The sequence below is a fragment of the Homo sapiens genome, chromosome X (genome assembly GCF_000001405.40).
Source record: "Homo sapiens chromosome X, GRCh38.p14 Primary Assembly".
NCBI classification, from domain to species: domain Eukaryota; kingdom Metazoa; phylum Chordata; class Mammalia; order Primates; family Hominidae; genus Homo; species Homo sapiens.
The window spans coordinates 147,304,605-147,332,468 of NC_000023.11; the positions used below are offsets into that span (position 1 = coordinate 147,304,605).

Genomic DNA, 27,864 nt, shown 5'->3' on the forward strand with positions numbered 1-27,864 from the left:
GGCCACAGGCAGCCCGGGACAGCTTTGAATATGGCCCAACACAAATTTATAAGCTTTTTAAAAACATTATGAGATTGGTGATTTTTTTTTTTTTTTTTTTTTTTTTTAGTTCATCAGCTATTGTTAGCATTAGTGTATTTTATGTGTGGCCCAAGACAACTCTTTCAATGTGGCCCAGGGAAGCCAAAAGATTGGACACCCCTGTTGTAGATATATATAAGCATATTCTAAAATTAATGGGAGAAAACATAGGTCCTCCAATAGCTATCACTACCCTAATAAAGCAGCATAAACTGAGAAGAATCAGTCTATCATCCTAAAGATTATTTTACAGATACATTAACCAAGACAGTGTGGTATTGGCAGAGGGATAGACACATAGATCAATGGAGCAGAACAGAGAACCCAGAAGTAGGCTCACACAAATGTACCCCACAAATTTTAGACAAAGTTGCAAGGGCAATTCAACTGAGGAAGTCTTTTCAACAAATGATGCCAGAGTAATTGGACACCCATAAACCACCTCCCAAGGATTAGCTGAGCAGTACCTCACATATCTAACCTACAATAGATCACAGCCTTCAATATACCATGCAAAACCATATTTAAAAAAAATATATATACAACTTAGGAGAAAATCTTTGAGATTTAAGACAAGGCAAAAGAGTTAATAGGCTTGATATCAAAAGAGTAATTCATAAAATGCAAAGTAAATAAATTGGAACTTATCGAAAATTTTTAAAAAGCATATTTTTCTCTCGGAAAGTTTATTTGAAGAGGATGAAAAAGCAAGCTAGAAACTGGGAGAAAATACTTGCAAACTGTATATTCAACAAATACCTGTGTATAGAATATATAAAGAATTATCAAAAATCAACAGAAGGAGGTGGAGCAAGATGATGGAATAGAAGCTTACACTGTTCATCCCCCCTGCCGAACACCACATTTTAACACCTATCTGCATGCAGGAAAGCACCATCACAAGAACCAAAAATCAGATGAGCAATCACAGTACCTAGTTTTAAATCTATATCACAGAAAGAGGCATTAAGGAGGGTAGGAGAGACAGTCTTGAATTGCTGATGCCACCCCTCCCCCATCCCCCAGCAACAGCTGTGCACTTGGGGAAGGACAGTGCAGTGACTTGGGGCCTTTACAGTGAACTCAGTGCTTCCCTGTCACAGCCGAGAATAAAGCCATGCTGGATGCAGCCAGGGCCCATGTACAAAAGAAGCATTTGGACCAGACCTAGCCAGAGGAGAATAGCCCACCCCCATCAGTCAGAACTCAAGTTTCTCAGGAAGCCTTGCCACAGTGGGCTGAAGTGTTCTTGGGTTCTAGGTAAACCTGAAAGACAGCCTAGGACACAAGGGTTGCAACTCTTAGGAAAATCCTAGTGCCGAGTTGGGCTAAGAGCCAGGGTGGCATTTGACCTAAGGAGACACCAGATAGGCAGCTGAGGGAGTTCTTGTGCCATCCCTTCCCCAACCCCAGGCAGTGATGCTCACAGCAATAAAAAAGTTACCCTTTCCTTCTACTTGAAGAGAGGAGAGGGAAGAATAAAGAGGACTTTGTCTTGCATCTTGGATACCAGCTCAGCCACAGTAGGATAGGGCACTGGGCAGAGTTGTGAGGGTCCCATTCTGAGCTCTACCTCCAAGATGACATTTCTAGATGCACCCTGGGCCAGAAGGGAACCTACTGCCTTGAAGGAAAAGACCCAGTCCTGCCAGCATTCCTCATCTGCTAACTGAAGGGCCCTTAGGCCCTAATAACCAGGAGTGACACCCAAGGAGCATTCTGTGGACCTTGGCTTCTGAAGCATGGTAGCTTCAAGTATGACCAAGCACATTCCCAGCTGAGGAAGTTATGGTCAAAGACTCCATCTGATTGAGAAAAGCACAGGAAAAAGTAAAGAGGATTTGTCTTGTACCTTAGTTACCAGCTTGTATTAGGCTGTTCTTGCGTTGCTATAAAAAAAAAAGTGTGAGACTAGGTAATTTATAAAGAAAATACAGTTTAATTGCCTCATGGTTCTGCGGACTTTACAGGAAGCATGGAGCTGGCATCTGCTTGGTTTCTGGTGAAGCCTCAGAGAGCTTTCGGTCATGGCAGACAGTGAAGAGAAAACAGGCACGTCACATAGTGAAAGCAGAAACAAGCAAGAGAGGGTTGAGGGGGAAGGTGCCTCACACTTTTAAATGACCCAGTCTTGCAAAAACTCATTCACTATCACAAAAACAGTACCAAACCGTTAGAGATCCTCCCCCATGACCCTAACATCTACCACCAAGTCCCACCTCCAACACTGAGGATTAGAATTCATCACGGGATTTGGGCGGTGACAGATATCCAAACTATATCATTCTGCCCTGGCTGCTCCTAAATCTCATTCCCTTCTCACATTAAAAAAATATAATCATGCTTTCTCAACAGTCCCTTTAAAGTCTTAACTCATTCCAGCATTAACTCAAAAGTCCCAAGTTCCAAATCTGAAGTCGTATCTGGAAATGAGTTATTTCACCTATGAGCCTATAAAATCAAAACAAGTTGTTTACTTCCAAGTTACAATGGGGGTATTAGCATTGGGTAAGGATTCTCATTCTGAAAGGGATAAATTGGATAAAAAGAAGTGGGGCGGAGGATACAGGCCCCATGCATGTCTGAATCTCAGCAGGGCAGTCATTACATATTAAATCTTCAAAATATAATCACTTTTGTTTCCATGTCCCACATCCAGGACACACTGGTGCAAGCGGTGGGCTCCCAAGGCCTGGGGCAACTCCACTCTTACAGCTTTTCAGGGTTCAGGTTCCATGGCTGCTCTTGCAGGTTGAGAGTTTGTGGCTTTTCCACACTGAGGTTGCAGGTCTGGTGGATCTACCATTCTGGGGTCTGGAGAATGGTGTCTCCCTTCTCACAGCTCCATGAGGAACTGTCCCAAATAAGGACTCTATGTGGGGGCTCCAAACCCACAAATCCCCTCTTCACAGCCTTCCCTGGGGAAGCATCAGGGAGATTTCAGTCATGATAGAAAGTGAAGAGAGAACAGGCACGTCACATAGTGAAAGCAGAAAGAAGCAAGAGAGTTCCCTTCTGCTTGGGAACTCAGGCCTTCTCATACATCCTCTGAAATTTAGGCATTGGCTGCCAAGCCTCATTCACTCTTGTCTTCTATGTACCTACAGGCTTAACACCATGTGGAAGCTGCCAAGGCTTACAGCTTGTGACCGCCAATGTGGTGGCATGAGCAGTATCTGGGGCCCTTGAGCTGAGGCTGGAGCCAGAGTTGCTGGGATGTGGGGAGCAGTCTTCCAAGGCTGTGCAGAACAGTGGGGACCTGAGCCTGGGCCATGAAACCATTCTTCCCTCATAGGCCTCCAGGTCTGTGATGGGAGTGGCTGCTGTGAAGGTCTGTGAAACACCTAGGAGGCTTTTTCCCTATTGTCTTGGATATTAGCACTTAGTTCTTTTTTATTATTCAAATTTATCTAGCAACTGGTCGCTCCATAGCTTGCTTGAATTCCTCTCCCCAAAAAGCTTTTTCTTTCTCTGCCACATGGCTAGGCTGCAAATTTTTCAAACTTTTATGCTCTGCTTCTCTTCTAATTATAAGTTCCAAACTTAAGTCATTCCTCTGCTCTCACATCTGAGTGCAGGCTGTTAGAAGTTGCCAGACCACATCTTCAATGCTTTGCTGCCTAGAAATTTCTTCTATCAGATACTCTAAATTAACATTATAAAGTTCATACTTCCACAAACCCCTAGGGCATGAACAGAATGCAGCCAAGCTCTTTGTCCGTATAAAACACCTGACCTTTTCTCCAGTTCCCAATGGGTCCCTTATTTCCATCTGAGGTCTCTTCAGCCTGGACTTCACTGTCTATATCAGTATCGGCATGTTGGACACAACCATTTCAGCAGTCTTGAAGAAAATCTAAACTTTCCTTTATCTTCATGTCTGCTTCTGACCCCTCCAAACTCTTCCAAACTCTGCTCATTACCTGGTTCCAAAGTTGCTTCCTCATTTTCAGGTAACTTTATAGCAATACTCCACTACTGGTACCAATTTTTTGTATTAGGCCATTTTTGCATTGTTATAGAGAAATACCTAAGACTGGGTAATTTAAAAAGATAGGTGGTTTCACTGGCTCACAGGACCTCAGGCTTTATAGGAAGCCATGTTGCTGGCATCTGCCTGGTTTCTGGTGAAACCTCAGTGAGCTTTCAATCACGGGGCAAGGCAAAGAGGGAAAAACCATGTTACCCGGTAAAGCAGGAAAGCAGGAGCAAGTGAGAGAAAGAGTTGGGTGAAGGGGAGGTGCCACACACTTTTAAACAACCAAAGCTCATTGTCAGAGGTGTCTCAACCAGAGCGACTCCATCTTGAGTGAGGGCTAGGAAAATGAGGCTGGGACTTGCCTGGCTGCATTCTCAGAAAGTCAGGCATTCTTAGCTTCTAGATGTTTATGGTTAAGGGAACAAATTAAAAATGTTTACTCAACAGACCCAGACTTGGGAGTGTCCAGATATTCCGATATCTGGAGAACAAAGGCATTCCTCATTTTGCCTTAAAGATAATAATATCAATTCTTGCAAAATATAGTAATTAAGAAAATTTATGCTTTATCACAAACCCTCGTAGCAGAGCACAACTCCCAATATGTACAAGCATTGTACCTAGGGTGGACGCGTTCCTCCTCTTACTTTCGGGAACGTCCTACTCTGTCTATGGAGTAGCTATTGTTTCACTACTTTACTCTTAATAAACTTGCTTTTACTTTGCACTGCAGACTCTCCCTGAATTCATTCTTGCGTGAGATCCAAGAACCCACCCTTGGGGTCTTGATCAGGACCCCTTTCCTGTAACATATCTCTGGCAAACAACAGAAGGGACTATAGTGTGAAAACCCTGACCCAACAGCTACCTATGGGTAAGTGGTGAGGTCCTGTAACATCCTGAGAACTCACTCACTATCACAAAGACAGTACCAAGCCATGAAGGATCTACCCCCACTACTGAAACACATCCCATCAGGCCCCACTTCCAACATTGGAGATTACAATTCAACATGATATTTGGCTGGGGACAAATATCCAAACTATGTCACAGCTCAACCACAGTAGGGTAGAGCAACAAGCAGGCCCGTAGGGTCCACGAGTCCAAGCCTAGGCCCTTGGATAGCATTTCTGCACCTGCCCTGGGCCAGAGGGGAGCGCACTGCCTTCAAGGGTAAGTCCTAGGCCTGGCAGCATTCACCATGAGCTGACAGAAGAACTCTTGGACTTTAAGTGAACATCAGAAGTGGCCCGGCAGAAAACCTGTGGACTGGTGGTGGTAGTTGCCAAAGAGAGAGGTTCTTCTGCCTGTGAAATGTGGAGGGAAGAGCAGGAAGGACCTTGTATTGTAGCGTGAGTGTCAGCTTAGCCACAGTAGAATAGAACATCAGGTAAACTGCTGTGGTTTTTCTACTCCAATCACTGGCTCCCAGACAGCATCTCTGGACATGCCTGGGGAATGAGGGAAACTGACATCCTAAAGGCAAGGGCCGTGGGCAAGACCCAGTGTTGTGCTGGCTTCAGGTCTGACACGGTACAGTCCCAGTTGTGGTGGCCACAGTGTTGCTTGCATCACCACACTTCCAACTCCAGGTGGCTCAGCACAGAGAAAGATATGTCATTTGTTTAAGAGAAGTAAGAGAAAAGAACTAGAGTATATGCTGATAATTCAAAGAATTCTTTTGGATCTAATTTGAGACCACCAAGGTGGTACATCTATGAGTCTGCAAAAACCACAGAGATATTAGGCTTGAGGCCCAACTCCCTTCAAATACCTGGAAAACCTTCTCAAGAAGGACAGGCACAAAAAAGCCCAGGCTGTGAAGACTATAATAAATACTTAACTCTTCAATGCCCAGATACCAAGAAACAGCTTCAGGCATCAACATTCAAGGACGAGGAGGTTATAGAATATCAAGCAGACTCAACCCAAAAAAGACTACCAAAAAGCAGAGGGTCAATGAGGGAATCAAGAAGAAAATTGAAAAACGACTTGAAACAAATGATAATGAAAACACAGTATGTATCAACTTGTGGTATACAGTGAAAGCAGTACTAAGGAAATGTATAGCTATTATTGTCTACATTATAAAAGAAGAAAAACCTCAAATAAATGACCTCATGATGCATCTTAAAGAAACAGAAAAGCAAGAGCAAACTGAACCCAACGTTAAGAGAAGAAAAGAAATAATAAGGATCAGATCAGAAATAAGTAAATTTCAAATGAATAATACAACAGATCAAGGAAACGAAAGTTGGCTTTTTGAAAAGATAAACAAAATTGACAAGCCCTTAGCCAGACTAAGAAAAAAAAGAGGGAAGACTCACATAAATAAAATCAGAAATTAAAAAAGAGACATTACAACTGATACTGAAGAAACTGAAAAGATCATTAGTGGCTACTATGAGCAACAGCATGCCAATACATTGGAAAACATACAAGAAATAGACAAATTCCTAGACACATGCAACCTACCAAGATAGAACCAGAAAGAAATCCAAAACCTGAACAGACCAATAACAAGTAACCAGATTGGGTTGTTTGTAACATAAAGGATAAGTGCTTGAAGGAAGGGATACCCAATTTTCCATGATGTGATTATCATGCTTTGCATGCCACTGCCAAAATATTTCACATACCCCATAAATATATACATCTACTATGTACCCACAATAATTAAAAATTAAAAATAATTCAACAGAAAAAAAGTATTTAAAAAATGTGCCATATACATCAAACAAACATTTCACCAAAGAAGATCTATATATAGATGGCAAAAAACACAAGATGATCAAAATCTTTAGCTGTCAGGGAATTTCAAATTAAACTACAATGATATATCATAACACATTTTTCAGAATGGCCATAAAAATAGAGAAAATACCAAATGCTAGCGAGGATGTGGAATAACTGAGTCACTCATACATTGCTTCTAGAAATATAAAATGTTACAGCCACTCTGGAAAACAGTTTGGCAATTTCTTTTAAAACTAAGCATGTGAAGAGCGGCCAAGATTGCTGACTAGAAGCAGCTAATATGCATGGTTCTTACAGAGAGGAAGCGAAGGGGCGAGTAAATACAGCACCTTCAACTAAAACATCCAGGTACTCACATTTGGACTAATCAAGGAAACAACTCAAACCATGAAGAAAGGAGAAAAGCAAGGCAGGATGACAGCCCACCCAAGAGTGACACGGAGCCAAGGGAAGCTCCTCCACCCATAGAACCTGTGAGAGAATGTGTGACTCCAGGATCCCACGCTTTCCCAATAGATTTTTGCAACCTTGGGTCAGGAGATCGCCTCATGAACCCATTCCACGAGGGCCTTCAGTCTGACACACACAGCTACACGGAGTCTTCACAGAGCAGCCGCTCAGGAGTGCACAGAGATCCAGGAGCTTTAGATACCCTGGCTTTCTGGGAGTCCTAGCAAAAGTAACTGCAACTCCGGAGAAGCGGGAGGTTAGATCCCTGTCCATACTCCTAGGAAAAAGGCTGAATCCAGAGGGCTGAGCAGTGACGATCTCTGAGCCCCACTTTCATGGCACCTCACAGGATAAGAACCACTGGCTTGGAATTCCAGCCAGCAACCAGTAGCAGTGTTGCACCTTCCTGGGACAAAGCTGCTGGGGAGAGGGGCAGACCACCACCTCTGCTGTTTGGGAGAGTCCTAACCAACTGGCGGTGAAAGCGATCCCCCAGCATAGCACAGCTACTCTACAAAAACGTGGTGAGACTACTTCTTTAAGTGAGTCCCTGATCCCGTTCCTCCTCACTGGGCAGAACATCCCAAACAGAGCCTCCGGCCACCCTACCAGTGTTCTCCACCCGTCGGTTGTATGAAAACTCCGTGGAACAGAGCTCAGAATTGTATCAGACGGCGGGCTGCCAGGTTTGCTGTTTGGGTGACTTAGCTGTTCTAGCCTTTGGGCTCTGGAGAGTCCAAGCAGATTGGGGGCAGAAGTGGTACCCCAGCACAGCAAAACTGCCCTATGAAACGTGGCCAGACTGCCTTTTGAAGCAGATTCCTGATCTCCTTCCTCATCATTGGGTGCAGCATCCCAACTGGGGTCTCCAGCTAACCCCACCAGTGTTCACCCGTTGACAAAGGTTTCAGGATTCCCTGGGACAGAGCTCCCAGAGGGAGGGGTGGGCTGCCATCTTGGCTGTTTGCACGACTTAACCATAACAGCCTTCTGGCTTCAGAGTTTCCGAGGCAACTGGGGGCTGACGTGGAGCCCCAGCACATCGCAGATGCTCTAAGAAAACGTGGCCAGACAATTGTGAGGAGCATCTTTGTGTTTTTCTCTGTATTCTCCAATGATCTAATGTCTTTCATTTTCTCTTGATTTTTTACACTTTTTTATTTCAAAATTTTGCCCTCAAATGTGTGGGTATTTTTAATCGTGGGTCAGACTTCTATGTGTAAACATGTATGACAGAGGGATCTCCTCTGTCGTAACATGTATGACGGAGGGACTCCATGTCTCCATGGAGAATACATCAGCAATACTCAAATTTTAAGAAACTCTGCAGGACAAATGACTCAATTTTTAAAATAAATACATTACAATAAAAATGAGATGGAAGTGAAACTTATACATTAAAGCACACGTAAGAGGTATTAGCCAACCACAGTTGCGGATCTTCTTTGGATCCTGATTCAAATAAACACTTCAAAAACATATGCCATTTGTGAGCAAAGTTTCAATTTGGATCCTAAGTGGGTATTTAATGATATTAAGGAATTATTACTTTAAAGTATGATAATCGTATTGCAGTTATGCTTATAAAAAGTGTTAACTAAATGTGATGTGGTATGGTGGAACACAAAAGTAAAAATCTAGTCGAATCCAAAGTCTGGAGTTTAGGAGTAACGTATTAATGTTAGCTTCTCAGTTTTGACAACTGCGTTACGGTAATATAAAATGTTAACAATGTAAGAAACTGAGTTAGTATACAGAAAATCTATGTACTATTTGTCATCTTTTTTTGTAAATCAAAAATTATTGCAAAATAAAAAAGTTTACTAAGAAAAGGAGGGTTTATCTCCATAAAGGCATTTACTGAGACACTTATGAGTAACATTATACGATTTAGAGATTTTTCTTCAAAATACCATGTGGGGCAGAGAAATAGGTGAGATTATAGATTAAACAAGATTGGTCATAGACTGTTATGCATTGAAGCTGCGTTATGGTTGCATTTGAGTTCATTCTATTATTCTCTTTACTTTTGTGTATGTTTAAAGGGTTCCATAATAAAAATAAAATTTGAAGTTATATACGTTAATTTATATAACTTTAAGTTACATACATAATTATAGTTATACATTATATAACTACAATTATTTAAATCAATACGAGCCTTTCCAAAAGGGAAATGTACAAATTTCCAAAAGGGTTGTATCGATTTACATCCTTTACACTTTCCTTTAGAAAATAGCATCTACTGGCTGGGAATCTGGTAATGGCTGACTAATTCACATCAACTTGCCATCTGAGAACAATTACAAGGGTGTTGAAACGGAGGACATTTTAAAGATCCTAAGAGGCTACTTTGAAAAACCCTGTGCAAATAATTCGAAAAACTAGATTATGTGGGTATGTTTCTAGGAAAATAAAAGTTTTTAAAATTGGTCTCAGTAGGAACAGAAAATCTAAACAAACCAACTACCACAGAGGAAATGGAGAAAGTATCAAAAGAGTTTCTCCAGCATGAAAACAAGATGTTTTTACAGGGAAATTCTATCAAACATTTAATGGTTAGATTATTCCAACATTATTAAAAATATTCCAGAGTTCATAAAAGAAGAAAAACTTCCAAATTTGTTTTCTGATGTGTTTTAACATTAGCCAGGCAAATAACACAACAAAGAATTCACTAGTTCTGTACATTAAAAAAATACATCATTTCCAAACAGGTATTACTGCAGATATGCAAATCTATTAATAATTCAATATTGGAAAATACAGTAAGAGAACACAGCATTTTAAAACAGCTAATGAAAAAAATATATAATCACCATAGATACATGAATGGTTTTGATACACCCATTCATTTTGAAAGCTGTCAGTAAAAGAGCAATGGATGGGATTGCAATAAAAAAGATGAGATAGAAGGGAAACCTATACATTAACCTATATATTTTCATATGTATCAACGATACCTATGTGTATATATACATACACAGACATGCATATATGTATATATGTGTATATATATACGTGTGTGTGCATAACACTCATATAATACATGTACATATACATATTTGTCCAACATCTTACTTATCATTGGGGAAAAAAATCAGAAACATTTTCACTAAAGTCAGGAAGAAGATGAGAAGCCCACTATCTACACTACTATTTAACATTGTTTTTGATACTTAGTAATTTAGGAATATGTTTTAAAGTTTCCAGATGGATTATTTTCTGATGTGTTATTGATTTCTAATTCTATTGCATTATGGTGAGAGAATTATGATATATAATATATATATATTTTTTAATTTATTAGGGTTTTCTTTTTGGCTTCAGATATAGTCAGTTGTAGACAATGTCTACATTAGTTGAAAGTAAAGTGAACTCCTGTTAATGGAGTTCTAAGTGCTATATATAAATGAATTTCTACTCTATTGATAACATAGCTTAGGTCTTTTATGTTACTTAGTAAGTATAAGCAGTCTCGAACTCCTGACCTTAAGTGATCCGCCTGCCTCGGCCTCCCAAAGTGCTGGAATTACAGGCATGAGCCACCTCGCCTGGCCTGCAATTTAATCTTATTAATTAATTTTTCCTTTGGGATTTTATTGTATGTATATTTTCAGTAGCAAAATTTTATATCAGAAGACAATGGAGCAACTAATTTTAAAAACTCAAGAAATATGAATCAAGAATTTTATATCGAGTCAAAGGAAACAGAAGAAAGTGAAGGGCTCTTTGCTAAGCATATTTCCTAATACCTAAGAAAAGGCAAATCCTGAAGTAGCTTGGGAAATGTGCAAACAGCAGCTGAAACTAGAAGGGATTTTTGCACAATCCACTTTGTGGGTAAGTTCAAGGAGCTTGTTTTAAGGTCAGAAATGAATAAAGCAGTCAGGGTCCTATTAACTCTCCAAACTAACCAGCTGAACTTTCTTCTGAATCTTTTTTATCTTTTTCTTTGCTTCTTTTTAAAGTTTATTCTTTTCAAATTTTATTTTCCTTCAGAAGCATTATTCCATGTTTAATTAATCTTGTAATCCTTTTAGTATAATCTTTATTTCTAAAATTACTTAATAATTATTTTCATGGTATAATCACATCATTCTAAATTTGTGCAATTCACATTTACATTATGTATCTTATATTATTTTGTTAATTCCTTTTACCTTGTTTTGAAATCTTAGGTAACATATTTGTTTTGTGGATGTGCCTTTCTATGAAAGCTTTTATTGCCTATACTGATATTATTCTGTTTATGTATCACACATAAATGTATTATTCTATTCTTATTATTTTTTTTGTTTTTGAGACAGAGTCTCACTCTGTCACCCAGGCTAGAGTGCAGTGGCACCATCTCGGCTCACTGCAACCTCCCCCTCCTGGGTTCAAGCGAATTCTCCTGCCTCAGCCTCCCAAGTAGCTGGGATTACAGGCATGTGCTACCACGCCCAGCTAATTTTAGTATTTCTAGTAGAGACGGGGTTTTGCCGTATTGGCCAGGCTGGTCTCAATCTCCTGACCTCAGGTGATCCACTCACCTTGGCCTCCCCAAGTGCCAGGATTACAGGCGTGAGCCACTGCGCCCAGCCTCTATTTTTAAATAATACATTCCTGTAATATTCTCTCATGATAATCTGCTGTTTTGTTTTTATGTGGAATTCATTTTCTTAAACTTTTAGGAAGGTGGCGTAGATTAGATTTTCTGGCTTCATGGCTATAAAGTTCCCTTTCTTTGATTTTTGCAATCTATTCCAAAAAAATGACCATATACTTACTGTGATCTCCTGGCTCTCTTCCCTCACTGCTATATTAACTACCTGCTTCCTTTGTCTCTGGAGTCCCTGTTTTTCTGGATTGGGATACTACTGCCAGGGATTGCTCTTCAATCTAGGGTTTTGGACCGATTGATACATTGTGGATGTATTTTTAAGTTATATCCAGCAAGATTTACTAATAATTAACAGAAGAGAAATCTTAAATTACAAATGTAGGAATATACAGAAATAATTATTTGAGCAACATGGAAAAACAGATTATAATTAAAAATAAAACACTACCATTTGGGAACTTTTTAAAAAAAACCTGCTAATCATTAGGTATAGGGTGTAAAAGAAAGAGAGGATTAATGATGATGCCAAGGGATTTGTCCTGAGCAGTGGAAAGACTGTTTCCTTTAACGAGTGTGAGGGAGGTGAATTGAGGAGCAAGTTGGAGTAGAGGAGGGGCAGGGATTGAACGTGAAAATTTAGGCATGTAAATTTTGAGCAATACATTAGACATGAAAGTGGAGATACCAAGTTAAAAACGTACATGAAATTCAGAGAAGCTATCAAGGCTGAAGATATACCTTTATTTAGGCAATGTAAATAAATATATGGCCTTAAAATTATGATACTAGATGAAATCACCAAGGGGATAAAAGGAACGTATGCTAATAAGAGATCTAAGGAGTAATCTTGAGTCTCTCCAGATAAAGAAAACTAAGAAGGAGGGCTAGTGAAACAAGGGAAAATTAAGAGTAAGATGCCTTGGAATGCCTTAGAAGTTAATGGAAGAAAATGTTTCCAGGAGGAGGAAGTAATCACCACCTATGACGAATGCTACTGATACCTACATCAAATAAAATGTACTAGTCCATCTCACCAAGGTACAGATGGAGAAACTGAACCCCAGAGAATGCACGGAATTGTTTCGACATCTCAGAGCTAAAGGCAGGCCTAGTGTTAGCACTCATGTCACCTTAACCCCAATCTCATGCTGTTGTTGTTTCTCACTAATCTTCAGTATTCAATCCAGCAGCTTTCCATCCCAAGAAGTTTTGAATTATATTAACAAGTTGATATATCCAAAACTATAAAATCTTTAGTCAATATGAATGATTATGTCTACTTTTAACACTGTTAATTTAAATCTAGAGAGGGCTTTCATAAAAAGCCCTCCTTAAGAAGTAGAAAGATACTTACCAGATCATCTGAAATCTCGTAACACCAGATAGCCAGAAGACCAGGGTACAGTGGATTACAATAAGCAATTCTAAAAATAAGAAGATAAAACATTAATTAACCACATTACATCTTTTTTTTTGAGCAGGGAGTATCATCTGGTGATACTGTCAAGACGGTGGAAGTAGGTGCTAGTGTCAGCTCTAACATAGTTATCCACCTATAGACACCAAGGGGATAGTGCTCCAACATAGATTTTGTAATTCTAACATGAAAAATAATAAAGTTGGCCTGGCACAGTGGCTCACGCCTGTAATCCTAGCACTTTGGGAGGCCAAGATGAGCAGATCACTTGAGGTCAGGAGTTCGAGACCAGCCTGGTCAACATGGTGAAACTCCATCTCTACCAAAAATACTAAAATTAGCAGGGCATGGTGGTGTGTGCCTGTAATCCCAGCTACTGGGAAGGCTGAGGCAGGAGAACCACTTGAATCCGGGAGGTGGAGGTTGCAGTGAGCCAAGATTGCACGACTGCGCTCCAGCCTGGGTGACAGAGCAAGACGACGTCTCAAAAAAAAAAAAAAAAAAAAAAAGGAAAAAAGAAAAATAACAAAGTTAGTGAAAACAATTGCGTCTATTGAAACCCTTCCCAACAGGGCTGGGATTAGTCAGTAATGTTTTACTAAAAAAGACTTGAAAATCTCTGGACCCATTTGAAATACTTCACTATTCTGTTGATGTAATTAGCCTTTCTATTACATTTGAATTGGCCTTTACACAGTGATATATATTTTTTTTTTACCTTGGCTGTCTCATGCAAGTTACATACCTCTCTGAGCTTCAGGGCATTTTTTTCTACTTTGGAAAAAATAAGATTAATAATACAAAAAATGCAGAGACTATAACAGCAAAGACTTAGGTTAATATTTTTCCATACTTATGTACTTATGTCATATTTAACAAATACAAGCCACTAAATATTTCTGATAAAATGTGTCTCTATAATTCCTTCCTCAATCCCATTCTCCTACCTTAGCTTCTCCCTGGAGGAAACAACTGAATTTTATGTTTATCCTACCAATCCATATATACACACACACATATATATATATTACTATCACACATATTTTTAAGTTACCCAAATGCATCTATACTATGTATATCTTCCTACAAATTACTTATTATACTCAAAATTAGATTTTAGAAATCTATCATTATTGATACATAGATCTAATTCATTATCTTTAACTGCTACATAACATCATACCTCATAAATATACCAAATTTTCTCTGTCCATTTTCCTATTGATGGACATTTAAATCATGTCCAATCTTTAACTATTACATACTGCACTGCAGTGAACTTACGACGTGTACCTCTTTGCATTCAAATAGGAAAACTTCCATAGAAATCATATCTAGAAGTAGAATTGCTGGGTTTCAGTGTACGCACATATTTAGATTTTCTAGCTATTTCCAAATTGTCCTCTGCAAAACAATTGGCCTAATTTATGCCCTTATCAGAAGTATACACCGGTTATTGACAGATTTTATAGTTTTGCCAACATGAAAACTATAAAATGGTATTTCACTGATGTTTATATTTTCATTTCCCTGATTAACATACAGGTATAGCATCTTTTCACATATTTATTCCACATTCAATTTTCTCTATTGTAAATTACCTATTTGTGTTTAGTGTCTATTTTTGTCTTGAATTGTTCATACTCTTCTTATTCACTTGTAGAACGTTTTCATATATTTTCATTTCTAGTCCCGTCTTCATTGCATATATTGGAAATATCTTCTAATCTGTCATATGTCTTTCGACTTTTTCATGGTGTCTTCTTTTTGTCATATTAACGTTTTAAATTTTGATGTAGTATTTTTTAAAAGAAATATTTTAAAATAAACACTCTTTACCCACAAGATCATAACCCTTTCATATAGATATTTTAAACATATTTAATCTTTTGTGGTTCACATTTAGATTTTAAAGCCTTTGAAATTTTTTAAAAAATATATGGTGGGTTTGAAGTAGGAATTTAGGGTTTTGTTTTTCACTTCTCTGGTAACCAATTGTCCAAAAACACCACATGTTAAATAGTCATTTTTTCCCTACTAATCTCTAATACTAACTCTGATACACACCAAGTTTCCTTATATGTGTCGCTGATGAATTTTCTTTGTAAAGTATAAAACTGCGACATTAACATATTGAGCTGCTTTATTATAGGGAGTTCTTAAAAGGTCTGTGTGGGCCAAGAGTGAGAAATTGAAACACTTCCATACAATCCTCTGGATCTGTCTTTTGATATTCACCCTCTGGTTTCAAGATATCTGTCAAGTTAATAGAAGACGGCATTGTAAGATGATGAGAACCAATTTCAAGGTAGGTGGCAATAAGAGATGCCCCTTATACTGTGGAGAGGCTGGGAACACTCATTAAAGAGATGAACTATAATTAAATTATAAACCAAACGAAGGTCGCTCACCAGCAGTGTATCTTTGAGCAAAGTACTTGATATTTCTGTCATCTATTAAATGGTCATAATAATGCCTGTATGATAGGATGGTTATGAGAAATAAATAAGACGTGTGCAAAATGCTGACGATGGTACCTTACATATAACAACAGTTTAGTAAATGTCTGTTTTCCCCTAACAATGGATGAATGCTTACAGTTGCATTTAACAATTAATTCTGTTCACTGAATTTCGTAACTATCTCTCCATTCTTGTGACCGTGTCCACTCCCCCACCTGCTGAGAAAGTTCTGACATGTAATGATTTTAGGTAACCAAGGGGTGGACTTACCATCAAATGCTGTCCACAGAAGTATTCTTGGAACAGAAATGTGTCTCAATTAGCTTTTCCAAGCCAGGATTCACTCTTCACCCTCAGGAGGTACAGCAGGATGCTAGTCGTATAATGGTTCTCATACATTGGCATCTATCAGAATCTCCTGAAGGGCTTGTTGAACACAAATTGCTGAACCCTGCCTCGGATTTTCTGGTTCTGTAGGTCTAGTTTGAGATCCAGGAGTTTTCCTCTCAATAACAAGTCCCCAGGGGATGTTGGTGCTGCTAGTTGAGGAGACCACACTCTGAGAACCACTACTCTATAGTGTCACTACATGTGTGTTATTGCTATTGAACACCTCCTTGCTAATGTTCTCTTTGAAAATATGCTGCACTGGAGAAATTTAGTTACGATTCGCCATGCAATGACCATTCATACAAATCTAGAGAAGATTTTAGAAGAACGTATTGTACTATAATTACGTTATTTGAAGTCAATTTGGGACACTGGTTGTAAAAAGTAGCTATTTAAAATTGTGGAGCAAATAAATCATTGGGTTTCCAACAGGGCAGAAAATGTAGATTCCTGTAAAACTACATTTGTTCAATTCATTTGTTAAGAGAAGCTACAGTGACAAATTCAATGTGCTGTATATTTTACTTACAGCGAGCTCATTAATACTAAATCTTCAATGGAATCATACAAGCAAAACAACTGGATTAGAAGTAATGTCTGCTGGGACCAGTTTTAGATAATGGAAAACAAAAAGAAAATCTGCTTCTGATAAAACATAAAACGCTGAGATCTAATCAGTCTAAGATACAGCTTGGACATAGTTGAAATAACATTGCACATATAATCAAAGAACTGTTTCTAATTGCTAAATATTTCATTAAATAGCCATATAAACTTGAACAAGCATCGTAACCTGAAAACTCTGATTTTCAGTTTTCTTATCTGTAAAGTGGGAATGATAATGCTTAACTTATAAGATTTTTGTAAATAATATATATAAATCCACTTCCTAAACAATATATATAAATCTGCTTCATAAACTATAAAATGCTATCAATATTTAAGTATCATGTGTTAATCAACAACGTATTAAGGCACACAGCAAGTTACTAATACTTGAAAGTTTCTCCTCCACAAAACTAACTGAAAGGAGCAAAGCGGACATCCCTAACTCTCCCTAGATTAGTGTTGGCAGATTCGGCAAATGAAAATACAGAATGCACAAACACGAATTTCAGATGAACAACAAATAATTTTTAGTGTATTTCACATGCAATAGTTGGGATATACATATAACGAACATTTTATTCACAGTTTACCTCGAATTCAAATTTAACCCTATATCCTGTGATTTATCTGGTAACTCTATCCAAGAAACTTACATTCCTAGAAATGACTCAATATTTCCACTTTCCTTAAACCTTTACACCGTTCTGCAACTCGTGGCCCCTAACTCTTGAAAGTGAACAATCTCTTCTCCTACTTCATGGAAAAAATGTTCCTTAGCCTAGGTCAGTACACACAGCACTTATACCACCTCAATAGGCATGTCTAATTTCCAGAGTTCTTCATTTGCCCCTACTGCTACTGGGAATCTTTCATTTTCAGCTGCCTCACATATGATGACATACTCAACTAATTTTGTTCCTCACAGCCATATTGTGAGCCCTTCAGGCAGGTGTTATACTATGCTGATTGAAACTGTAAAGAAGCTAAAACTCTGAAAATTAAGTGACGTAGGCAATATGGGGCTGAGCAAGAACTAAATGCCTTTTCTTGAATCTTTACCCAGGCCTCATTCCCTTCTACACACGTTGCAACCCCAACCCCTGATACCCTGATCACAGCCACCAACAGAAGGAAGAGGAAAAAAGGAGTTATCTGGTCACACGGGTAGAAGTGAATTAAGAAGTCGATAGGCATTACTATGTATAAGTGAGAACTAATTGAATCAAGAAATTGATGACACCTGATATAATGGCTGAAGGTAAAACAAAGCCATCCATTCTAGTTGCTGCATCCTGAAGATTCCAAGCTCCAGGTGAGGGCATCCAAGCTCTTCCATGACTCATTAAGCATACTCGACTTGTTCATATGGGAAGTTCATCCATGCATGCAGAAGAAAAAACAACTAACAGCAGGGTTTTCAGTACTCAGCAGGGTAAAAAGTTGTTATATTTGTGCTGCCAAAGCTTTTCTGGTTGTTGTTTACTCAGTTTGGAATTTTTAGTTACCCTTGTACATGAAAAAAAGAAACTAAAAAGCCCTGTGGATTTCAAGCTATGGTGGAGTGTTCCACAGGGAAGTCTCAAGTACATGCTTGATTGATTGTCATTGTCTTTAGTACTATTTGTTTTTCTTTAAAATTTTAATTATTATGAATATATAATAATTATACACACTTATGGAGTACAGGTGATATTCATACAATGATCTCATGAAAGATACCTCCTCACGCCTTAGGAGAGCCAATACTGTCAATACCAATACCTCCTAAAGCTGTATTTTTTCTTTAATTTCTCTTAAGTTCTAATAAGGCAAATACTCGAAGTCTAGTTCATATCTGAATGGAGAGCTGTGTAAAGAGCATACAAATCCTACAGAATAATGATTTTCTAACTTACTGGCATATTGAAATAAGTTGTGTCAGAGGCATTTCAACCAGAGCAACTCCATCTTGGGTAGGGGCTGAGTGAAATAAGGCTGAGACCTGCTGGGCTGCATTCCCAGTAGGTCACACATTCTTCTCTTTTTCTTTTTTGAGATGGAGTTTCACTCTTGTTACCTAGGCTGGAGTGCAATGGCACGATCTCGGCTCACTGCAACCTCCACCTCCCGGGTTCAAGCGATTCTCCTGCCTCAGCCTCCCGAGTAGCTGGGATTACAGGCACCTGCCACCACGCCCAGCTAATATTTTGTATTTTTAGTAGAAATGGGGTTTCACTATGTTGGCCAAGCTGATCTTGAACTCCTAACCTCAGTCGATCCACCCACCTTGGCCTCCCAAAGTGCTAGGATTACAGGTGTGAGCCACCGCACCTATCCCTACACATTCTTAGTCACAGGACAAGATAGGAGGTTGGCACAAAATACAGATCACAAAGACCCTGCTGATAAAACAGGATTCAGTAAAGAAGCTGGCCAAAACCCAGCAAAATCAACATGGTGATGAAAGTGACCTTTAGTTGTCCTCACTGCTCATTATATGTTAATTACAATCATTAGCATATGATAAAAGACACTCCCACCAGTGCCATGATAGTTTACAAATGCCACGGCAACGTTCAGAAGTTACCTTATATGGTCTAAAAAGGGGAGGAACCCTCAGTTCAGGGAATTGCCTGCCCCTTTCCCAGAAAACTCATTGAATAATTCACCCCCTGTTGAGCACATAATCAAGAAATAACTATAAGTATACTCAGTCGAGCAGCCCATGCTGCAGGCCTGCCTGTGGAGTAGCCACTCTATTCCTTTACTTTCTTAAGAAACTTGCTTTCAGCTTTACTCTATGGACTCACAGTGAATTCTTTGTGAGGCCCAAGAACCCTCTTTCTTAGGGTCTGGATTGGGACCCCTTTCCAGTAACAGCTGGGGAGCTTTAAGACTGCTCAACCTCACCCCCTCCACCAGACCCCTTTTACGTGGGATGTAGTCTGGTCACGAACATATTTACCTAAAGGCTCGCTGTGTCATTAAAACATGCAGACAAGTTTGAGTACCATTCATTGAAGAAATCTTGGCTGCAAATTGAAATAATTGAGAAAGCTTTTAAAAACTCCTCAATGCCCAAGACAGATTTCAAACCAATTAATTAAAAATATCTGAGGGTGGGACCCACGCATAGAATTTAAAGCTTTCTAGGTAATTCTGATGGGAAGCTAGGGTTGAGAATCACTGTTTTGGCTTTAGTGCCTTTTCATGCCATTTTCTTTGCACTTAAGATGAGAGGACTATAGAGGACAACCATTTGTTGACCTATTTAACTCATTTTTGACTGAACACAGTGATTTCTGATTCACGTGGAGTGCTCAAAAAGTATTTAATGTATAACTGTATTTGAAGATCTTACCATATTGAGGGAACAGTAAGTTTACTATATAAATATACTATCCTGAAATCATGACTGATAAAATATCATATATTATATATATACATATGTTTTTACATATCATGTATACAATATGTATTGGTAGATACTAATAAAATTAGTTATAAGTTTATGATGTTAACGTAATGCATTTATTCTGCAACTCTAAATTTTACTTATCATACTGCTAAGGATTAAGTGGGGGTGCTCATATTTACCTTCCATATTTTCACCCAGCAGTCAGTGATCCTCTACTTTTGTCATTAGTCTAGAATTGTAAGATTTAGCAGCAAAAGAAAAAGAAAAGAAAAGACTCTCAATTATATTTTAATTCTAAATGAACAACAAATAATTATTAGTAGCAAAAGTACGCTCTGTGAAATATTTGGGGCATATTTATACTCAAAAAACACAAAATGAAAACTAAAACAAAAGCAACTATTGTTTCTTTGAAATTCAAATGTAACTGGACATACTATATTTTAATCCTGCAACTTGACACTGTTGCCCATGCAAGTATCTTTAAACTAAAAAGCAAAAAAGTAAAAATAATGATAAACATTAAATAATGGTTACAATACTGATTAGATGTTCTATTTTTTTCTTTTTCTCTTATATCCTTAGATGTTATCTTTTAACATTCATCTTGAAGTCTATAATAAAAATAAGAATTTTATTTATGGACTTATATTTTAAATTCCATGTCTAATGATTGTATAATCACATCGAGCACAAAGCTTCTAGTTTAGGACACAAAGGTTCCACATTCAAAAAACACACTAAAGAGCAATATGAAAGCATATCAAAGTATAAATCTCACAGGCAAAGGTAAATATATTATCAAATAATACAGAACAATATAACATTACAATAGTGGTATGCAAATTATCAATAACCTTAACATAAAAATTTTTTAAATATTAAGAATAACTGTAACCACAAAAAATTAGTAATAGATTCACACTTCTTTCAATGTACTTGATACATATATGTTGAAATATAGTTCTTATTTTAAAATGCCATTGATATGGGCAAATCAAAAATATAAGCTATTACTTTAATAACTTGCTAAATATAAAGAGGACTTACTAACACATTTGAGAAAAGAGGTTAGGCAAACCACTTGTTTTTGAAATGTTTCCAATTCCATAAGAGACTACATGAGAATACGGATAGGCTGCCCCAGGATTAACTACATCAGTGTTTGGGTCTTTGGATTGGCAAAGTCAGTATCACAGGAGAACTTGTTAGAAATGCAAATTCTTAGGTGTCCACCTAGACATACTAAATCGGAAATTCTGACCCAGAAGAGAGTGCTTTAAAAAGGAGATTCTGTTGTACATTACAGTTTGAAAACAAAGGTTTTAATCCTGCCTCTGTCATCACCAAGCTGAGTAATTCACACAAATCACATCCTTATGGAATTTCAAGTCCATCATGTCTAAAAGAAGATAGATGTTATTTATCTTGCAAACAGCATAGAGATGATGAACATGAAAGCACTTTGTAAACCTAATATACCATGGAAACATGAGCAACCTATTATCTATAGCATGTGGAAATATTTTTAAGTTTTTTAAAACCCGTAATAACATGTATTCAATGTGTGATAAAGGAAGTATGCATGTTTGTTCTTATCATTATTTTGGAACATTTTAATTATCAAAGAATAGATAATGAAAGAAAAACATATTCAAGATTAAAATGACCTTGGGACCTCAGCTGTTGATTCTATTTGCTCAAAGCATCCAATTTAATTGTAACTGTTTTACCCAGGCTATTATTACATATTGCTGTTTCAAATAGAACAACTGTAATGAGGACTTTTCCTACATGTGAATGTTTAATGGGAGAGCCTACAGAGGAGATCAGGTTTACTGGATTCAAGGACTGACTCTGCTGGTTCCCTCACTATGATTTAGGCAATTACCTGCCCCTCTATGTATGCTGAAGGGTTTTACGAATTGAGCTCTGTGAATTTTTTAAGTTCTAAATACTATTATGGGTATATTTGAACATCTTTTAAAAACATTTTCATGAAAACAAAGTAGTTGTGCATATTTATGGGGTACATGTGATATTTTGATATAAGCATAAATGTGTAATGATCAAATCTGGGTAATTGGATATTCATCACTTCAAACATTTATCATTTCATTGTGTTGGACCTCTTCCATTTACAGCACCTCAGAGAAAATTATTCTGTTCCCATTCATATTACATTAAACTTTTAAGGATTCTAAGATGATATATCTTTCTTAGAAACTTCAGGGGATTGTTACAGAAAAACAAATCTCTAAATGCATTTATATATCTTTTTTTCATTTTCAGTTTATTCAGATCAAACACTTTATCTGACCAAATTTATAAGACAAAGACTTAGAAAAATGAGCTCTGAGCTTAGCACACTGCAGCTGTGTCTCTGCTTCCTGAAACTTAATCTCTACTCCATGGACACAAAAGATTCCATTTAGTAAGTGTATTTTATTGCCACTTAGAGGAAAAACTCCAAAGTATTATTTAGCTCTTAGAGATATGGATGAATGGTTTAAGTAGAAAACCTCAACATCAGAAGTAAACCTTTTGCAATATATACATAATCAAAAATCAATATTTTGGGCAAAACATATTGGCTCTGAACATGTAAAGCAATAAGAAAGAAAATATATTAATTAATGCATATGCATATATCCAGAATATTTTATTGACTAATAGAGAAGTATCCATTTGTTGCTCTAAAACCTTCAAGAGTCCTTGGTCTTTAGAAAACACAATATAATGTTGATATCTATATTTTAACACTTTTAAAGCACTATCGTAGGAAGGTGCATATAGTAAATTTTCTCATTAGAGAACCATTTTTTTGACCATGCGCTGTAGTTCATTTTAAACTTAAATAGGAATTATTATTAGCCTAGGTCTACAGAATGCCATTCAAAGAAATATATATATAAATATATATATACACATACATATATACATCATTATGTAAATGGACTTTCTATATTATGTTTTCACTTTTATTTAAGACTTATATCCACATTTTCTTCTAAAAATTATCCTTACTAGACAAACAGGCAATATAGGTTTATTATGTCAACTGTGTGCTTAGTTCTAGGCTAGGTGCTGTATAACATTCTCCTGCGTATGTACACCACATTTTCTTTATTCATTCATTCACTAATGAACTCTTAGGTGGACTTCATATCTTGGCTGTTGTGAATAGTGCTGCCATAAATATGCAAGTACCGATATCTCTTTGACATACTGATTTCCTTTCTTTTTGATATATACCCAGAAGTGAGACTGCTGAATCATATGGTAGTCCTATTTTAAGTTTTTTGAGAAATCTCCATATTCTTCTCCATAGAGGTTGTGCCAATTTACCTTCCCACCAACAGTGTATAAAAGTTCCCTTTTCTCCGCATCCTTGCCAGCATCTGTTACTTTTTGTGTTTTTGATAATAGTCATTCTGGCTTCTCACAGAAAAAGAATACATTGGCTGATGTTAGTCAAAAGGCTCCCTATCTGGTTACAATTCCCATTGTAAATTAATATAATTTTTCTATGGTTAAAAAAGTCCATTCAAATATAGAAATTTTAAGTATGATTGGCTGTGTTTGTGAAAAACTTTCTCTTAGAGTCTCTAGGCTATGAACAAGTCATTTGGAGCTTTTCCCCAAAATATTACTTTCTACAACTGAAAAACCTATGGCCATCATGTGAATTTTTGTTTATTGAGGCCTCATGTCTGTTTTTAGTAGATTTTGGTAAAATAAACAGAAGATTTTCCATTTTAACCATTTTTAGTGTACAATTGAGTGGCATTTTAACTATATGCACAATGATATACAATCACTACCATTATTTATTTCCAAAACTTTTTCATCACCCTAAACAAACTATGTAATAATGAAGCAATAACTTACCACTTCTCCCTGCCTCCAGCCTCTGATAACCTCTAATCTACTTCACTTCTGTGAATGTGTCTGTTCTATGTGTGAAATGTTTTTTGCAGTCATAGTTATCCGAGGATTTTTTTACAGATAAAGATTGAAACAGACTTCTTGATACAGCTCTGAATACTAATTACACATGATTGCTATTCGCCCAACACTTTCAACTGAATGTGGATATTAATACTATCATGTTACTAGAATAACAAATTCAAACTCAATATAATACAAGAAACAAAGAACAATTAAACATATCAAGTGTAATGGAATAAAGAAAAACGAGGATTTGGAAATTCACATGGAACTAGATTTTACCTGGCTCTGCAATTTACTGGTTGTGTATACACGAGCAAATTATTTAACCTCTCTGAATGTCTCTTTCATCGTCTGCATAATGAATGAAGTTGCTGATGACTGTAAAAGAGAAAATAACCAAAGTGATCTTCATGAATCAATTAGTCTAATAAGTAAGGCAGATAAGTCAGCGATAAGCTTGGTCATCCAAATCTTTCTCAATCAAGTCCAATATTGCATAGCCTTACTTGCCATTCGTTCTCTTTCAACATGCCCAGAAATTTTAGACCCAGGAGCAGGTGAGATACAGTTTCTGGGAATCCCCTTATTCCATTCTCCCCGTAAAATATATTTCACACAAACACTGAGAGTGGGATGCAGGAAAACTGGTGTGTCATTTTATTTTATCTCTGTATTTGTTTTGTGACCTTGTCTAAGTCAACCACTTTCTTCATAAAACGACCACACTGTACCACAAGTGTATTCAAATTATCGTATAAAATAACAAAAGAATAAAATGCATTGTGAAAAAAGTTTATTTTGAAGACCAAAATAAGATATATTATGTAACTGATGCAAAAAATCTAGATATATGAAGAGTTTGGTTTATAAAACAAAATTTTAAGAAATTATAACTAGTATATGTTAAAGGGATAAGAGGAGATAAAGAAGAGTTTTATAAGTTTCCAGTTTATGTTTACATTGCATTTTATTTCATTTTACAAATGTTCTTGTTAATAAGAAAATCGTATCCAGAAAACCCCAAAATATCATGGAAGTTGGTAAGATAACTGGTGTTTGTACAATGGCAACAATAGGTAGATTCTGAGCAGTGATGTTCTAGAGCCAGCTTGCATAGTCATGTGAGAACAGACTGTGCAAATCTTTTCCCAATTTCACATGCAGTGACATCATGCAGTTAGCTTGAAATTATTCATGGTGAAGTGTTCACACCAAGGAAATGGGAAAATTATAGAAATCAGGATTTTTATTTCCAGAGAGACATCAGCACATCATTCGTTCTTGACCACAGTTTCTTACACTATGGCTATAGGAAGAAGAAATGTGGAGATATACATCCTTACTGGGATTGAGACAGTAGGCAAAGTTTTCTTTAATGTGCCTAAAAATAACCAGAGTATTCATTGCAATGAAATTCCTGATTCAGTAAATCTAGCTTGGGACCTGGGATTATTTGTTTTTTATACTGTCCCCAGTGACACCTATGCTGGCCTAAGTATCACGTGAGTAGCAAGAAGCTATAGTACATCTAATTAATTTCCATCAGCGGAACAAGGCCCTCTTGGGACGGGGGGCGGGGGCTGCTTTTTTTACTATCAAAATTCTTTAGTTATTGGTGGTAAAACCAAGCTCTTGAAAACCTCGACATAAATGATTTGTGGTCATTGTTTAGGAGTAGAATAGTACCAAAGCATATTCTATTTCTTCAACAAAATAGGCAACAATTTATTCTCCCTAAGTAATAAGCTAATTATTCTACTAAAAATTAAAGAGAAATTTTATACTACTGTTCTACTGCCTGTTAAGGTCACCCTGACCAAACCGTTCCCTTCCCCTCCCACAGACCTTACAGTACAGTCCCTTGCGCTCTCCGCACAGCTACCCCAGGGCAAAAGACAACCCCGCCCCCCTTCCACTGACCCCTCCAATAACTGTTTGTCCAGACAGTTACAGGATGCAGTTAACACGTCTGCTAACCTCACATAACAAAGCTGGCAAAAAACATCTCCAGGAGGCGGTCAAGACACCTGCACCCCCGACTCAGCTCCCCAACCCTGACCCAGTCCTCCTGCACCCCCGACTTAGCTCCCCTACCCCGACCCAGTTCTGGCCCTGTAAAACCCTGCTATTGTCTGTAAGCAGGGCTGCCTCCTCTAACTGTGGTGGAGCAGCCAAGCAGCTCAATAAAGCTTGCTTGCCTGACTTTGGGTCTGCTCATCCTTTCTCTCGGCTCACCTTACACTACCCACTCTCAAAACTCACCAGTATTATAGAACAAGCAAAGCAGAGTGTGTAGTGTGTTTTACTGTGGGGGTGGGAAGTGGACGTGTCTTCAAAGCCACAATAAAATGACCACAACCACAATACAAAATTTTTGAGACATGTCTACAAAACACTATGAAACATAAAACAAAATAAGGCAGAAGACTCAAAAGTACACACTTTATACCTCAAGAAGCATTCAGTTTCTTCAAAATCACTATTACTATGTTTGTATTGAATTCAACAATACTTTTGAGTAATTAGATTCAGAGGAGTAGGCAGACAACCAGAGAAGGAGAGAATACCTGTGCAGAAACCCAGCTTCGCACTGCAGAGTGGTCTGAGAGATGGCACTGAAGAAGAAACCATACTAATATAACTTGTTTATCTATTATCTAACCTCATATCCAGCTGGAACTGTCAGAGGTGAAATGTAATAAATGACAGAGGGGAAACACTAATCACTACATCACAAAACAGAGACCCTGGAGCTTAACGGATTTACTGTGAATGATCAACAACTTGAATGCCAATAACTGAGAGAAGACATGCTACCAGGTGAAAAGGACAGACATTTGTTTTGAAAAGTTGTCCCGGAAAAGAAACACAAATTAAAGATACTGACATCCTCATATCATTATCTTTTCCCAACCCCCAAATATGGCTGGCGTCATTAAAAGATGAGTAATTATCTCAAAACAGAAAATATTAACTTATCAAAATAAATTAAAAACATTACTTTTAATTAAAAAAATAAAGGAGCAAAAGGTCAATTAATAGCACGTATCACAAGAATTCTCCAAGGAGTTAAAAAACAGATAATTATTTCTCCATAGTCTCAAAAAATTACAAAGGGCATGAGTTAGATGGCATGAAGAAGAGCTACAATAAAACAGAGGTTCAAAACTTAGATTACATGGTGATAGAGGGAGATAAAAGCTAACAGAATTCAGAAAATAAGTGGAAAAGAGAAAATTAAGCAGTAGAGATACAAGACCATATTAGAAGCAACAAAATTATACATAAGCATTACTGAGAACAGTAAGGCTTGATGGAAAGGCATGAAGAAATTACACAAAATGAAAGCAAAAGAAGGAAAAGATATTAAAATATTAAAAGTAATACCTGAAACCTAGACAAAAGATGTTCGACTCACACAGAACTGCTGTTCCAGAAGAATGAAGCAAAATACATGAAGGTTAAGTCTTTAATATAGGGATAAAAAGATATATTGTATCTCAGAAAAAAATAAAAAGGTACAGAACATTCAGCATGTGGACGTATCTGGAAAAAGTTGCTGAACTTCAAGGATAAATAAAGATACATGTGGGGAGTCAGGAAGAAAGAACAAGTCATTTACAAAGAGGGTTCTATTCTCTACTTGCCAGGACAGATTAACTGACACTAAGCTTCGTCTCCTGTTCCAAAAGAGAAACAAAATAGAAACAAAAACAGAAAACTAGAAAACTGTACAAAATATAAGAAATAATTGTTTTCAGA

At 37.4% G+C, this 27,864-nt stretch overlaps 1 long non-coding RNA gene across 1 annotated transcript; it reads right to left on the minus strand.

The window, feature by feature from the left end:
• Positions 1-19,311: 19,311 nt before the first annotated feature.
• On the minus strand, positions 19,312-27,549 carry LOC105373348 (uncharacterized). Its single transcript, XR_938515.3, has 3 exons — positions 27,490-27,549; positions 24,382-24,480; positions 19,312-20,377 (listed from the first exon to the last, which is right to left on the minus strand). It is a non-coding gene; the product is annotated as an uncharacterized LOC105373348 (long non-coding RNA).
• Between the last annotated feature and the right edge of the window lie 315 nt (positions 27,550-27,864).